The sequence below is a fragment of the Homo sapiens genome, chromosome 12 (genome assembly GCF_000001405.40).
Source record: "Homo sapiens chromosome 12, GRCh38.p14 Primary Assembly".
Taxonomy (NCBI): domain Eukaryota; kingdom Metazoa; phylum Chordata; class Mammalia; order Primates; family Hominidae; genus Homo; species Homo sapiens.
The window spans coordinates 3,461,813-3,477,700 of NC_000012.12; the positions used below are offsets into that span (position 1 = coordinate 3,461,813).

A 15,888-nucleotide genomic window follows, 5' to 3' on the forward strand; every position below is an offset into this window, starting at 1 on the left:
AAAGACTCTGTCCCAGATACCCTTGGCTGTGAGCTTCCTACAGCCTTTGTTACAAGCAGGTTTTTTAAAAAACCAAAACAAAACAAAAATAACTTTTATTTTAGGTTCAGGATTACATGTGTAGGTTATACAGATAAACTCATGTCACGAGGGTTTATTGTACAGATTATTTCATCACTCAGGTACAAAGCCTAGTACCCAATAGAGTTTTTTCCTCCTCTCCCTCCTCCCAACCTCCATTCTCCGATAGGCCCCAGTGTGTGTTGTTCCTCTCTTTGTGTCCATGTGTTCTCATCATTTAGTGCCCACTTATAAGTGAGAACTTGCGGTATTTGGTTTTCTGTTCTTGTGTTAGTTTGCTAAGGATGATAACCTCCAGCTCCATCCATGCTCCTGCAAAAGACATGCTCTCATTCCTTTTTATGCCGTGAATGTTCATTGCAGCGCTATTTACAATAGCAAAGACATGGAATCAACCTAAATGCCCTTCAATGACAAATGGGATAAAGAAAATATGGTATATGTACAGCACAAGAAGGTTTTTAAAGGCAAAAGAAGGGGGCAGAGTGGGCTGGTACTGGGTTGTTCGTTAACCATCTTACTGATTTACAGAAATAACTTAGATGAATGACTTGCTACTCATTGTTAAACTATAGGTGATAGTGTCCAGTGTGGCATTATTAGAGCTATATGTGGCAATAGCAAGCAGTTTTAAAAAATGAATATATAGCTCAAAAGAAGGAGTGGGACATGATTGCTCTCATTTTACTGTCTCTCCAGGCCTGATGACTTAAAAGGACCCACCTTCCTCAGATGAAAGCTCTTTACTTTTTGCATCAGGAACTCCCTTTTCTGCTTTCGTTGAGTGTCAGGATGGGTCCCATGAAGAGCTGCTGGCAGGGACAGACAGAAGCCAAGGAAGTTGAAGTGCTTGGGAGGGGGCAATAGTCCCCTGCCTGCAACCAACATTTAAAAGCACTGTCACTTCAGGCTGAAAGTGGTAGAAACCAGTCTGTTAAGTCACACCAAAAAGTATGTGTTAGACAGACCTGGCTAGTCCTTTACCCAGAGATCTTGTAGCATAACTGCAGGCGGATGGAAAAGACATGGAAAGCATTAATCACTGCACAAGCTTAGGGCTCAGTCCCTTTTGGAGGGTGGTGAGCGGTAGAAGTGCCTGGAAAATATGTATAGAAACTGTGAAATTGGCAGAAGAAGGCCCTAGAACCTGGGGTTGGGTTACAGTGGGATCAGGGACATCTGGGAGGATGGAGACACAAACATCCAAATTATATCCCTGACATTATGCTTAGTGTGTTACCCAATATTATATCCCCATTTTACAGACTGAGGAAATTAAGGTTAAGTAATTTGCCCGAGTCTCACAGCTAGTCTCACTGATGCTGGAAGTGAGACTTCATGAGTGAAACAATTGTGTTACCCTGAGAATTTCTTTCTAATTCCTGGCTTCAGATTTAAGGTTATGGTTGATGGGGGAAAGTATACACATCCAGACCTGTCTGTCTTGGACTTTTGGAAGATTTTCTCTGGGCTGAAGTTTTTAGCTAGGTTAAATATCAAGAAAGGCTATAATTGCTTTTTCTCCCTATTGCTGGGAGGTTGGACTTGCATAAAACTCTAGTGGAGGTTCACTGCAGCATAGATGGAAAAGCACTGGATTTCCATTTTACTCTTGGCTCTGCTGAGCTGTGTACTCTAGGACAAGCCATTTAACTTTTCAGCTGTGCTCTAGAAAGATTTACACCCATCTTGCAGGACTCTTAAAATAATTAATTTTAGAGATAGGCTCTTGCTCTGTCACCCAGGCTGGAGTGCAGTGGTGTTGAGGTCATAGTTCACTGTAACCTCCACCTCCTCTCAAGCAATCCTCCTGCCTCAGCTTCTCCAAGCACTAGAATTACAGGCATGAGCCACTGCACCTGGCCACAAGACTCTCAATGATTAAGAGGGAGAATAACCAGGACAAAGATATGTGAACTGTAAAGAGCTGTCATCTTACAATGGTGATGGTGATGATCCCTATACTCCTGGGAGGGTTGATGCACATCCTCACCTACAGCATTTGTAAGCAGAGGATAATGCTTCCGTCTTGAGGATTCTCATAGCAAAGTTAAAGGTACCAATATTACCGGATGTTTAATATAACTGGACCCACTGTCTACTGCTTTATGCACAGAAGATACGGGGCGGAGGGAGCCTCTGTTAGCAGCACTGAGGATCTTGGTTACAAATGAGTGGAATGACTAAGCGGGGAGGGGATCTTTAGCGACCTTTGAGAGCAATGTGAACGGCACGTTATTTTTATTAAGGAACACAAAGCAAACATTAGCAGTGAAAGAAATGCAAACCACATCTTGCCTATTTAAAGCAATAAAGGAAGGGAACAAAGTTATACAGACAAAGAGGTGCTTTTGTTTCCCCAGTTATGAATCCTGGTAAAAAAAAAAAACAAACTGCACACAAACCACAAAGACAGTCAGGACCTTCACCTCAACTCCTAACGTGCTGTGTTTCCTTAAGAAAAAAAACAAAAACCCTGAAAATAAAGCAGTGTCACACTTTCTTCAACTTGCTATATAATTTGAGCTTCATGTTTATATTCTTTTGAGAAAATATCAAGACATTACTCGTTCTCTCCTCAGTAGTAGTTGGTTTTTTTCAGGCATGGAGTGGGGGAGGGTAAATGTAATTTTTCCAAGTACACATGCATTCATTTATTCAATATTTATTACTTATCCTGTGCCAAGCTGTCTGCTAGATGGGGTTAACAAAAATAAATCCCTGCCCTTAAGGGAAGAAAAGACCCATACCCCGGTATCTGTAGCCTCTACCCCTTAAAAGAAACATCTGACAGACTTCTGGTTTGGAGCTTGGATACTGACTAATCAGATCTCATCTGCCCTGGCCAACCAGGACTCAACTGTATCAACCAATCAGAACTAAGCAAGTTTCAATCTTTCATTCGCATAAACAGACCTCATGGGAAACCTGGGTAGGAAATTTTGCTATGAAACCTGACTCCTGCTCACACCTGTAATGTCAGCACTTTAGGAGGCCGAGGTGGGTGGATCACCTGAGGTCTGGAGTTCCAGACCAGCCTGACCAACATAGAGAAACCCTGTCTCTACTAAAAATGCAAAATTAGCCGGGCGTGGTGGTGCATGCCAGCTACTTGGGAGGCTGAGGCAGGAGAATCGCTTAAACCCAGGAGGCGGAGGTTGCAGTGAGCAGAGATTGCACCATGAGCCATTGCACTCCAGCCTGGGCAACGAGAGTGAAACTCTGTCTCAAAAAAAATATATATATATATATATAATTTTTTTATAAAAAAATATATATTTATATATATATTTTATAAATATAAATATATTTTTATATATATTTTATAAATATAAAATATATATATTTTTATATAAATATATTTTATAAATATTTATAAAAATAAAAAATATATAATATATAATAAAATATATATTATATATACATTAAATAAAAATAAAATAAACCCGACTCCTCTCTTTGTTCTCTGAACACACCTACATTTTAACACTGAAGGCGGGTTTCCCAAGTGTGCAAACTGTCCACTGGAATAAAGTCTCTTTGCTCCAAATTCCTTTTCTGGGAACTTTTGTTTGTGGGGTTTAGAAAGAGGAGCAGTTATTTCTAGGAAATCTGATGAGTGCCTGGAAAGGAAAGAGTGGGCAATTCTACTGGAAGCAGGTTTGAGCCAGATCACAAGTGGCCCTGGATGATGGGTTAGGGATTTGTGACTTTATTTTGAAGGCATAGGGAGTCATTGAGGCTTATTGAACAGGGGAGTGCCATGATCACCTGGCTGTAAACAGACGCTGAAATTTAGAATCTGATTTTTGAAAACGAACTTATAAGGTAATTACATGGGTGGGTTTGAGGACGACTTGAGGACCTTTCAGAGGGCATAGCCGTTTTGGCTTGCTGTCCTGCTAATAGCATTTGCTGCTTCTCACTCACACTTTATTTTGGATGGAGAACTCTGCACACATACGCAGGAGGGTTGATTTTTTCTAATTCATCTCTGTAGCCGGGATAGCTTCTGACGCCTAAGAAATGTAGTCAACACTCCTACCTAAAATGCCCAGAGAGAAACTCTACATAGCTGAAAGGGGGGAGCTAGCCACTCAGCCCAGAGGTTTCTTCCTAGGAGGAAGGGCACTGACGCAGAAAACTGTAACATGCTGTAGTGACCAGAAGGATGGACCCTCCCTGCACCTGCTGTGGAGGAGGAAGGTGACGCTGCACTGTGCCAAGCTCTGCCAATCTCGGTTTAAGTCTGGGCATTGCCACTAATTTGCTGTGTGAGCTTGAATAAGTCACATTTCTTTTCCAGGACTTAGTCTCTGGATCTGTAAACTGAGAGGTGAGACCGGATGGTGCTGACATCCTGTGGGCTCGTGGGACTGAGTGAGACCTCTGGGAGCTCTGGTGTGGCCGGTCTGATGATCCCCAAGTTTCTCTCCTTTGACTCTTTGGTGCTGAGGGAGGCAACACAATGAGATGTGCTTTTGTTCAGAACCCCGGCCAGGTCTCACAGTCTGAGTGGAGTCCTGGCCCTGTTGTAGGTTAGTAGTGTGAATCTGGGCAAGTCAGTTAACCTCTCTGAGCCTCTGTTTTCTTTTCTGAAAAATAATGAGTCAATGTTCTCTAGCCCAAGAAAAATGGAGGGATGGAAACCAAAATATTAGAGGGAGCTGGCTTCCAATAAGTATGACATTATCACTATCAGGCTAAATGGGTTCTTTTTGTGAAAAAAGAAAAGTTAGAGTAACAGATTTTGACAAATACGCTCAACAGCTAGTGACATTATCTTGTTTTGGACAATAGCTTGGGCCTTTGACAGTTTTATCAATCTGTCAAAACAGCAGCACTTACTAATCCCTGAGGTATAGAAACAAAGGAAAAAGTTTGTTTAATGTCTCCTGCATTAAACAAATCGATGTCTCTTTTCTACAAAACAAACTCTTCATGGAGCTCCTTCACTTATTGCTGTATGGAACCTCTCAAATGAACAATCTCATTCATGTGAAAATTCCCCAGAGTGGCCACTGTAATTTCAAATGGTCTCTTAAGAAATTGTGTCAGAGATGACTGGGCGCGGTAGCTCATGCCAGTAATCCCAGCACTTTGGGAGGCGGAGGCGGGTGGATCACGAGGTCAGGAGATCGAGACCATCTTGGCTAACACACGGGGAAACCCCGTCTCTACTAAAAATACAAAAAAATTAACCGGGCGTGGTGGCGGGTGCCTGTAGTCCCAGCTACTCGGGAGGCTGAGGCAGGAGAATGGCATGAACCTGGGAGGCGGAGCTTGCAGTGAGCCGAGATCGCACCACTGCACTCCAGCCTGGGCGACAGAGCAAGACTCCATCTCAAAAAAAAAAAAAAAAAAAAAAAAAGAAATGTGGCAGAAACATAAGATGAGTTCACACGGCAGTGAGGAAATCTGGAAGCAGCAGGTGTTTGGCCTGGGGAAAAGCCACTTCCGATGAAGAAGGTCGCACAGACACCCGAGCAGTCTGAGAAGAGACTTCTTGCTTCTGGAGCTTGGTCAGAGGCCACAGGCTGATTGTCCCCAATCCTGATTCCAGGCAGAGACAACTTTAAAGTGAGCCGTTCTCAGAAACCACAGAGACGAGGTTGAGGGGAGATCTACCCTTAGCTGTGGAAACCCTTTGGTGAACCTCCGCAAAGCTCATTCCAATGGATGCTGGTCTGAGGAGAGCTCCTGAGTGCTGTGGCCTCCAAGACCAGCTTAAGGACAGAATTCCCAGGCCCCTGTCGACTGTGGACTTTCCACTTAGAGACAACACTTACAACATTCAACCAGCAGATAGACGTAGGAGCATTTCTCAGAAGGCTAGAAAGCAGTTTCACCGAGGAGCAGGGCAAATCTGATCAGATCACCAGGAAAAGTCTCACAGGCACCTCATTCCTAGAACAGAACGCACCTGAAGCGAAGCGAAGGGACCTCAAGGGAACATCAGACTCCATTCAGCCTGAGCTGCCTCCCAGCTGTGGGCCACCTGGCACCTCAGACAGGCAGAGACAAGCTGTGTGTCTCAGTTGTGTCCACCCTAACTGAGGCGGGGGCTCTTGTCCAAGAAGGGAGGGCTTTGGCTGACTCAGGGAACCTCTATTTCTGCCAATCCTCCTGAATTAAAAACCATCAAGAACTCACCTGTGGCTGAACCAAGTTGGGTTTATTAACGTGTTGCACAAAGGAAGAATGTCCAGCAGTAAAGAGGGCCTTCGAAAGAACTTAGTATAGATGTGGGCTTGTGGCTGGTGAGTCTCAGGAGGGCTTAGGAAGCGGGACCTTCTCTGGGCTGGATATCGTGCGTAAGCAGGTGCACTACTGTGATCGTGTTTCCTAATGATTCTTACCTAGAAGACGAGAAAAAATGAAGCAAGACTGAAGATGTGGCTGGGAAAGAGGCAGCAGCCATTCCCATCGGCCAGGAGGAGGAGATGTTTGATAGTTCTGCGATGTGCACAGAGACCTTGTTTTTGTCTGTGCTTAGACAAGATTATAGTCTTGCTTTTTCTCTCACTTTGTCGTCACAGAGTGCCCATCTCTGATATGGGTCCCATGGGATTGTGTATGTGCAACAGAACACCAAGGTCCAGTACCCACGCCAGCTCCTCCCAACACTGAGGCCCAGTCGTTGGCATCAGGCCAATTCCTGGATGTTAGAGGCTGCTTTTCTCTTTCTTCCATACACCAACTCTTGAGTCCTGATGGGAGACTCAAAATAGAGAATAGTTATGAAAGTTGATTTGTAAAAATGTATAGCACAATGGAGATGAAATGAATGAGTCTCAGATTAATACTTATCTGGGGCCCACTTATCCAGAAACCTTAGCCATTGAGAAAATAGCCAAGAAATGGTCAGCAAGCAGGCAATGTCCCTGAAACACCTGAAATAAAAGTCCCCCAATGTCCCACATTTTTACAAGAACTGAAAGTTTTGCACAAGCTCTATGTATGCTGTTTTGCACGCACTTCTCGCGTGCCTTGTTATCCTGCTCATAGAACATTAGAAATAAAGGAAGGCTCCTCTCTCCAGTCCATGCCTCCAAGATGACAAAGAAAAGAAGGAACTAGCGTTATGCCAAAAAGGGCCATGGCCACGTGCTGTCTATTCACTGCATGAACTGTGCACAATGCGTGCCTGACAACAAGGCCATTAAGAAATTCATCATTTGAAACACAGTGGAGGCCGCAGCAGTCAGGGACATTTCTGAAGCCAGAGTCTTCCATGCCTATGTGCTTCCCAAGCTGTAAGTGAAGCTATATTCCTGTGTGAGTGTGCAATTCACAGCAAAGTAGTCAGGAACAGATCTAGTGAAGCCAGCAAGGACCAAACACCCCCATCCTGATTTAGACCTTCACGTGCTGCCTCACGACCCCCACCAAAGCCCATGTAAGGAGCTGAGTCCTTAAGATTGAAGGCAGTCTACTGGAGAAAGATAAAGTGGAAATTGTCCTTAGAAGTGAAGAAATGCTTAGGGGCAGGAGCAAAAAGAGCTTCCAGTGCTGGTTCACGCTACAGCACAGGTGCACCCTGCAGACATGATCCAAATGACAGAAGCCAGGTACAAGGGACCACATGGCCCAGGATTCCATTTCCATGAAAATGTGCAGAACAGGCAAATCCAGAGAGACAGAAGGTAGATTCATGGTTGCCGGGGGTTAGGGGAAGGGAGAGTAAGGAGTGACCGTTGGCCAGAAATTTCCTTTTGGAAGTGTTGAAAATGTTTAGAATGAGATAGTGGTAATGGATGCACAACTTTGTGAATATATACAAAAACCACCTTAAAAGGGTGATTTTTATGATAGGTGAATGATATCTCAATTTTTAAAAAGTGGAAAAAAGAAGAAGGGCCTCAGGATCTGGCAAGTTCATAGCCTGATAGCAAGAGAGGATCTGGAAGACACTAAGGAATGTGTATTCATCAAGCAGAGCCGCCTAGAGCAGCAGGGCTCTGTCGGCCTCCATGTCAGAGGCTCTGTGGGCTTCTGTCAGTGCCACCCCGCAGACACACACACAGCATCGCCACGTGCTGGCCAAGGTGCCGAGGAGCACACAGAGGACTGAGACGTGGTCCCTGCACTCTGGGGGGAATGACACCTCAACACAATAACGGTGTTCGTCATCAGGACCCCAAGTCATGATGGAAAGGTTAAATTATTTTCAAAACGCTCAATTATAAGAAGGCAGAGGAGCGGATTATAACGAATACACATAAAAAAAAATTTCAAAATTGCCAACCTTTTAAAGAAATATTGAAACCCCTGGTTTCAAATAGCAGGGAATGGGATGCTCTGTGTGTGTGGAGAGGCAAACATCCCCATAGTCCTCAGGATCCCCTGAGAGGGGCCGAGTCAGAGGGTGTCAAGGCCTCCAGTCCTCTGGGCATCCAGGGCCTCATGGCAACTGCAGCAATTGTTCTCACTTTGGTTGTTTTTCCATAGGACTCAATGTGCTCTTACACAGGGACTCAGGACAGTGCTGAGTCCAGGTGGAGGGAAGAGGTCGGATGGTAGGGGCTGGGCAGGGGATGTGGTGAGGGCTCTGTTTGAACCTGCCAACCTTCCCCAGGCTGTCTACCATGTTTTTCTCACTAAGTGGGAGGTCTGTGAGCTCCGTCCCTCCAGGGCCTCACTGTGAAGCCGTTGCTGGCGTGGTTCTGCCCACTGGAGTTTGCTGGGTGGGGGGCATGGGGCAGGTGTGGGGAAACCTCCTTCCTGGAACAGGGTCTCCAGAATACGCAGGAGTGAGGCTGGCACACAGCACTGCCTCTGTGGTCCCGGTGTCCAGGGCGGGGGGATGGGAGGGGCCTCAGGGATGGAGGGACAGAACCGGGGCCTGCTTTCAACTCCACACCAGCCTGGTGAATTCAGATTATCTCTTCAGCTGTACATCGCCACTTCCACACTCAGGCGATTTCACCTAAGGTCCCCACTTGCTGCAAGCTCTGGGACACAGGGCCTGCTTTGTAAAGTAAGTATTTTGGAGTTTTTAAAGATGACAATTCAAACCTGCTCCTGCAAAAGACAGGCTTAATGGGACGACTCCCACTCTGACAGTGGGGCTTTCCTTCAGGCCATCCTGGGCGGAAGCTGGGGGTTGAAAATGAAGAGATGGTGACACGTGTCTAAAGCTCTAGGGGCCTGGAACCAAGTGACGCAGCGCTCAGAGAAGCAGAAGGAGCGGTGGTTTCTTCATAGAGCAGCAAGTGGTAGTGACAGAGGTGCCTGTCTGAAGGCTGCACTTTAAGAGATTGGACTGAGACCCAAAGCCTTGACCCAGGGCTTCCTTCTGGGTGGGTGCAGTCTGTCACTGTGGCGGGAAGGAGAGGGGCAAGGTGGAATGAAAACAGGCAAGAGTGGGAGTGCGGTGGCTTGCTCTGCTCCCAGCTCTCCCCTACTCTCTCTGCAAACCCCAGGTGCTTAGAGCCTAAGTATCAGTCAGAATCCCTCAGGGCCACAGAGACCCTTCCAGGTTACTGTCAGCAATGGGGATTTATGGTAAGGATATTTCTGGAAATCAAAAGGCCACCAATCCTCAGGTTTCCATAAACACCAAGGGCAGATTTGTTTTCAGAGCCTGGACCAGGACTCTGGGTCTTCAGGGCTCCGAGGATCTGGTTGTCTCCCCATCTTCCCAGCACGATGCCTCCTCAGTCACCCCCCCTTGGCCCTGAGTCCCCCAACCCCTGGGCTCCCTCAACCAGCATGGGGCATCTGCTCACCCCAACTTCTGCTTGTTCATGGCTCTGCTCTGTGTGGCTTTTAGCCTCTAGTCACACGAGCAGCTGCCTTTTCTCTCACATTCACACTTACTGAGAGAATTTAATAAGGCTGATTGGTCACCATGGCCCTTGTAAGTACCCACTTCCATGCTGGGCCACCAAGACACAACTGGGCTGGAGGCAGGCGCCCGTCCCTGGTGGAATCAGCTGCAGCTGGGATGGTGGGCTTGCCAAAGATGGGCTTTTTTGCCCTGTGGAGGGGCTTTCTCTGCTTACATTGATGGTAAGGTAGCGGGGTGAGGGTAGGAGAATGTTGAATGAGGGAAGAGCGGGTCTCCCAAGACTTGGCCTCTCTGAACCTTTGTCCCAGCAACAGAAGTCATGATGCTCTCGGGTGGGGGCAGTGCTTTGAAAAGATTCCCAAGGCTTCTACAGAGTGCGTGGGCGGGGACATCAATGGCCATCGTACTGTTCCTTGAGTCAGATCTCCCCATCAGGTTGCAGCCAATGTCAGGCGGTTCTGTAACTGAGAACAAGAAAAGGTGATCGGAAAGGTGTGTGGTGTTCCTTCTGGCTACAGGAGGTGATCCACAGATTGCCCTGTGAAATGGCTTCCCCAGGGCCTCTGTTTGCTTGACATTCCGGCTGGCCTCAGCCTTTTCCTTGTTATGCTAAACTTTACATTTCTAAATTTCCAAGTGGTATTGTGAGCATAGTAAATGCTTAACTGTTTGATAAATGAATGAATGGATGGATGAATAAATGAAACATGAATTTGTCCGCAGCCCTTCACTGAAGGCAGGACAGGAGTGGGTAAAGGTGCTTGGCTTTGGTGTAAGAAAGGCCTCACTTTGAATCCCGGCTCTGCCGCTTGCAAGCTGTGTGACATTGGGACAAGTTACTTAACTTCTCTGAGCCTCCTTTCCCTCAACTGTAAGGCTAGGATAATGCCCACTTAGAAGTTCTTTGGGAAGTCCAAGTGACTCTGTGTTTTCTAGCACAGGGCCTGACCCAGTAAGCTTTGATGGCTGTAATCATTAGGCTGACTCAAAGGGATAGGAGGGTCAGAGCATCTCGGTCTCCATATGCAGGGTGCATGGAGAAGCCTGGGACACTTAGCTGCTTGACTGTGGTGGAGAGAGGGAAATGAATGGGAGGTCCAAAGCTCCATGTTTCTCTTCACCACCCAGGGAACTAGGGAGGCTGTGGAGCCACGGCCAGGCTAAAGTGTCTGGCAGGCAGGGGCTGTGTTCCAGAAGCCAGGTCTTGGGGAAGCGCTGGGAAGGACCAGGATCAAATATGAGGGGAATTCTACCAGTGGTGCCCAAACCAACCAGTTCTCGTATTTTATATCTCCCTTACCATGCCATTCCCACCCCACCTCCAGCTCTTCCCCACTGGCATTCAAACATGCCCCAGGCGCTTTCAATGGAATTATAACAAGACCTCCTCTCAGCCCTTTGTCCCTATGAAACTGTGGCCTCATCATCACTTCTATATACAGTAGAAAGTTCTTGAAAGCATCACCTGCATGCACTGTCTTTATGTTCCCCTCCCTCACTTCTCATCCCTCACAATCTGACTTTCACAGCTCCCCTCTCCCCAAGAACATTCCATGCAACCCCTTGGGCTGAAATCCCTGCTGACCTTTGGATCATAAAGCCCAACAGACACGGCTTCTCAGGCCTCACGGACCTCCAGGCTTCTCCATGGGATGCAGCTGATCGCTCCACCCAGAACGGTCTCCTGTTTCGACTTCCCCAATGGTGCTGCCTCTGGTTCTCCTCTGCCTCTCTAGCTGGTCTTCTTCAGCCTTCTTCCTGAGAGCCTCTACCTCTGCCCACCTCACTTAAAGATCGGAGTTTTCCAGAGTCCTGTGCTCTCTGCAGTTCCCAATCAATACTTTCTCCTTGGGTGAGCTGATTCTCTTCAAAGGCCCAACGACCCCTGTGTTGCTGACAACTCCCCACTGGGATCTAGAGCCCAGGTGTGTTTCCTAAGGACCAGGTCTGCACGGCCACCTGTCACCTGGGCATCTCCTCTTGGCCACCCCCACAACAAAGTTCCTTCTCTCACCCCCAAATCCTCTCCTTTATTCTGCTCCTTTATTGCCTATCTTGGTAAATATTGTCTCCAACCACCCAATTGGCCAAATAAATCATCCCATGAGCCCCAGCCCCGCCTTAGTTTAGCTGGGCGTATTCCCTGCTTCTCCCTCTCATCCTGGGCAGTTCCTTCTCCTTCAGGCCGACACCCCATCCTTGTGTCATTGTCCCGTCTGCCCACCTTCTCAATCTCTGTGGAGGTCACCCTTCTCTTCATCCCTGCTGCTCCCATCCACTCCAGACCCTGCCATTCCTTGCTGGGGTTAACACAATGGCCACTCAACTCTTCCTCTTCTGGGTTTGTGGATTCCCCCAGTCCATTCACACAGCTGCCTGAATGAGCTTCTACAAATGCAAATTGGCTCATGCCCTGCCCTCCTCCAGCTTGAGATTCTTCAGGGTAACCCCACTGCCTTCAGGATAAAGTCCACACTCCTTAGTGGGGCATCCAAGTCCCTTCACATCACACGGTGAGGGGCTTGCACTTGGAGAGAGGGGCTCAGATAGGCCCAGGTTCAGATCCTGGCAGCATTTTTGCTGTGTGACTTTGAGTAAGTTACTTAGCCTCTATAAGCTTCTGTGTTTTTTTGTGTATAATGGGGGTACCCTGCCTGCTTCACGAGTGTAAAGAGGATAAAATGCACACTTTTGCGCCTTTGTTCTTCCATTTGCCTTTTTCTCTGCTGCAGCCACCCAGCATGCGGGACCCATGGTTTCTGCTCCCAGCCCATCCCCCACCTGTCTCTTCCTGTTGGCTTTTCACCCGATGCTCTCTGCTCCAGTCATCCTGAGGGGCTTGTCCTCCCCAGAGAAGCTGTGCCTCATCTCCACCAGCTGACACTGTGCAGACTCCATGCTCTCCCCTGGCCTTCCTCCTCTTTGCTTGACTAACCCCTCACAGTCACTGAAGATTCCCTTCAGGAATGACCTGCTGGAAGCTTCTCCTAAGCAGCAAGATGAGCTGCTTCTCCTAAAGGTTCCAAAGCAGTCTGCTTGCCCCCATAAGGCCTTCACTTTCTCATCTTGCAATTGCCTTCCCTCTCATGTGCTCTTCCCCTTGCACGGAATCTCCTCAAGGGTAGGAATCATGTCTTATTTATCTTCATATCCCCAGCACCTAGCATGGGACCTGACATATTAGGCTGTCAGTGAACATTTGCTGGATGGACAAACAAACATGGAATTCAAATCCAGATGGCATTTAAATGCCCTTGCTCTCATTGTTTCTTGGTTATTGTTCTGCTCTTCTCAGGCACGGTGGCTGTCATCCAGCCCACCCTCACACTGTGAGGCTCCCTGAGGGCAGGCTCCTAGCAGCATGGTGACCTGTAGAATTAGCAGACAGGTGACTCTCATCATAGATCTCATGGCTGACTGCCTGGCCACTAAAAGAAGGGAAGTCTAACAGGAGGCGGCTGGGCCCTCACTTCGCCTAGTGCAAACCAAACCCAGTGGCCGTGGAACATCTTGGGTTGGCTTGGAGGTCCTGGAGTGGTGGCAGTCATGAAGGAGAGGGGGACATTGTGGGCAGGAGGCAGAGGAAGTTTGGGAGGGGAAGGGCAGAAAAAAGTCCCACAGGAAATGCACGATTTCTTATTCTGGCTAGCTGATAGAATCGTGGACATTTGCCCCAGGGACTGTCAGATAAGGACTGACTTTTACCACCAAACTGGTTTTAGGTTTTGTTTTTAAATCAGTTTTCAGGCAGGACAGAGAGTCTCAGAACATTACTTTCCAGCAGATCACAAGTGAGCCTGCCTGTTTTTAGTTAGAGGGAGCTCTGGGGACTTTTTCTGCCTCGGGATCCGGGTCAGGCTGGCTCACCAGCCCTCTGTCCGCAGCGTCCTTATGTCTAGAGAACGCTACCACCTCCTGAGTTGTTAGACATCACTGGGGTATTCGCCACTTTTGGTCTGTAACAGAAGTGGAGGCAGATTGCAAGGCCTCTGCAGATAGCTCCCCATTCCTTGTCCTGAAAGGGCCTGAGCAGGGCCTCCCTTCCAGTACCGTGGGGTGTGGAGGGGGAGGGTTGGGATGGGGGGCCTCGGCTGCTGATTCTTGGGGAGGGAGGGGGAAGGCGGCCTGGTGTCCCAGAACACTCTTGTTTGTTATGCTCATTCTCTTCTACATCCTGTGGGTGTATGATGTATGTGGAGAAGGGTCTGAGGAGTCAGGAATTCTATGCCTCCAATTCTGTTTATAGACACCTTTTCCATGTCAGAGCTTTCAAAGTTGCCTTTCTTATAATTTGCTAAGAAATAGCATTGGGCTGGAAACTCAGCAGAGCCTTTAGGATCTGGACACCTTTATAGAGGGACAATCTCATTTGAGTAACAGGTCCTAAGACTGATAATAAAAATGACTTCATTTTCCCTCTAAACACTGAGTTTCCAGAGCAGAGAGCCAGACACTTTCTAGCCCTACTGGGAACCAAGCAATCTGAAGGGAGCTTCAGCTCTAAGTGGGAGTGGTTTAGGCCAGACACACACCAACACTCCTTGCTAGAAGTCAAGATGTTTTTGGAAATCTGAGCGTTTGTAACCTTTCCGCAGAGGTCTTTAAAACAGGGTGAGTTCTCCTCTATGTAGGGTGCCAGACACGTGGGCTTGTTGGGTACTGGGAGCCTGCGTCTGCTGGTCTCAGACAGACCATTTCTTTCAAGGAATCTGATTTTCTGCTTGAATTAGGTTTTGTTATTGGCAGGTACATAAACAGTGAACCAGGGAAGTGCCTGCGAGCTGGTCTGCATCTGTCCAGAAGGCCCACAGGTGCTCTAGGCCTTTCAACAAGAGCCTCATCCCTGGCTCATTAGCAAGCATGTGTTCCCTCTCCCTCTCCCATCTCTCTCTCTTAGGATAGGAGTTTTGCTCGTCGCTCTGCAGAAAGGTCATGAGACAAGGTGGACTGGATGAGTCATTGCAAAAAAAGCTTTCTTAGGCAAAGTTCTCTTCAGGTTGGGCTAAATCAGAATAGCCAGTGGAAGGATGCCTTCCCTGGGAACTTCAACAGCAGCCTCTTGTATTCTTTCTCCTGTCTACCTGTCAAAGTGTCTGCAGCTACATTTGTGGGTTTGGATGTGAGCATCTATGCATGCAGCAAGACTGTGAGCTAAGTAGGCACTGGGCTTCGAGTCTGTCCACTTAGTGAGTGGTGGAGAGAGGAGAGCCCCTCAAGAGCTGGGCCCACAAGGTCCAGGCCATGGAGAAATTGGGAAGCATTTTAGAGAGAATCCGTATCCTGCACTGTTTTGTTTGGGAACTTCTATTTGTAGGGTCAGCCTGGAGTGTGATTGACTATAGGCGAGACCTCATTTTCTTTATCATTGTGATGGGAATGAGGAGAAGCTTAAAGTTGGGGTGATGAGAACTGGGGGGCTGCAGACCAACTGACGCTCTTGAAACTGTGGTCTAGTAACAAGGCTACCTAGTTCAAAAATTATTTTTAGAAACCTGTTTCCTGGTCATTCTCCAAAGTCATAAAAGCCAGTGGGACTAAAATATTAGAGGAAGGAATCAGAACTGAGAGGTGTTCATTCATTCGTTTATTCACTTAACGAGTGTGTAGGCACCTTCTAAGTGCTCCGCACTGGACTGGGCATTGAGAGGGAAATGAAACAGAAGGCATGGCCTGTCCTTTGGAGCTTACAGTGAGAAACCAAGAGGTATAACCTGAAATAGCCAAGCACCTGTACAGCAAGGAAGGGGGAGGTGGCTTGAGTTTTCTTTGTCTTGGCTTGGACGTGAGGTGTCCCAAGCACCTGGATTTTCTTGCATCATGTAGTCTTATTGACGTTGAGTTCTGAAACATTTTATTTGAACACTTCTGATAGAGATTTTTAAAAAGATACCCTCCTCTGCCTCCTAAAAAAGAATTCACAGAACACAATTTTATCTCTTTTTGATAGTGTGCGCCAAACTCGCCCTTCCTTGAATATCTCTCAACCTTTTCCGATTGTTGGTGCTTTTTCCTTC

General features: G+C 47.4%; 1 protein-coding gene and 1 pseudogene across 1 annotated transcript in view; both read left to right on the plus strand.

Moving 5' to 3' along the window:
* PRMT8 (protein arginine methyltransferase 8) overlaps window positions 1-15,888 on the plus strand; it is a 212,625-nt gene that overhangs the window by 80,464 nt on the left and 116,273 nt on the right. The window lies entirely within an intron of this gene.
* RPS26P44 (ribosomal protein S26 pseudogene 44) lies at window positions 7,111-7,547 on the plus strand (annotated as a pseudogene).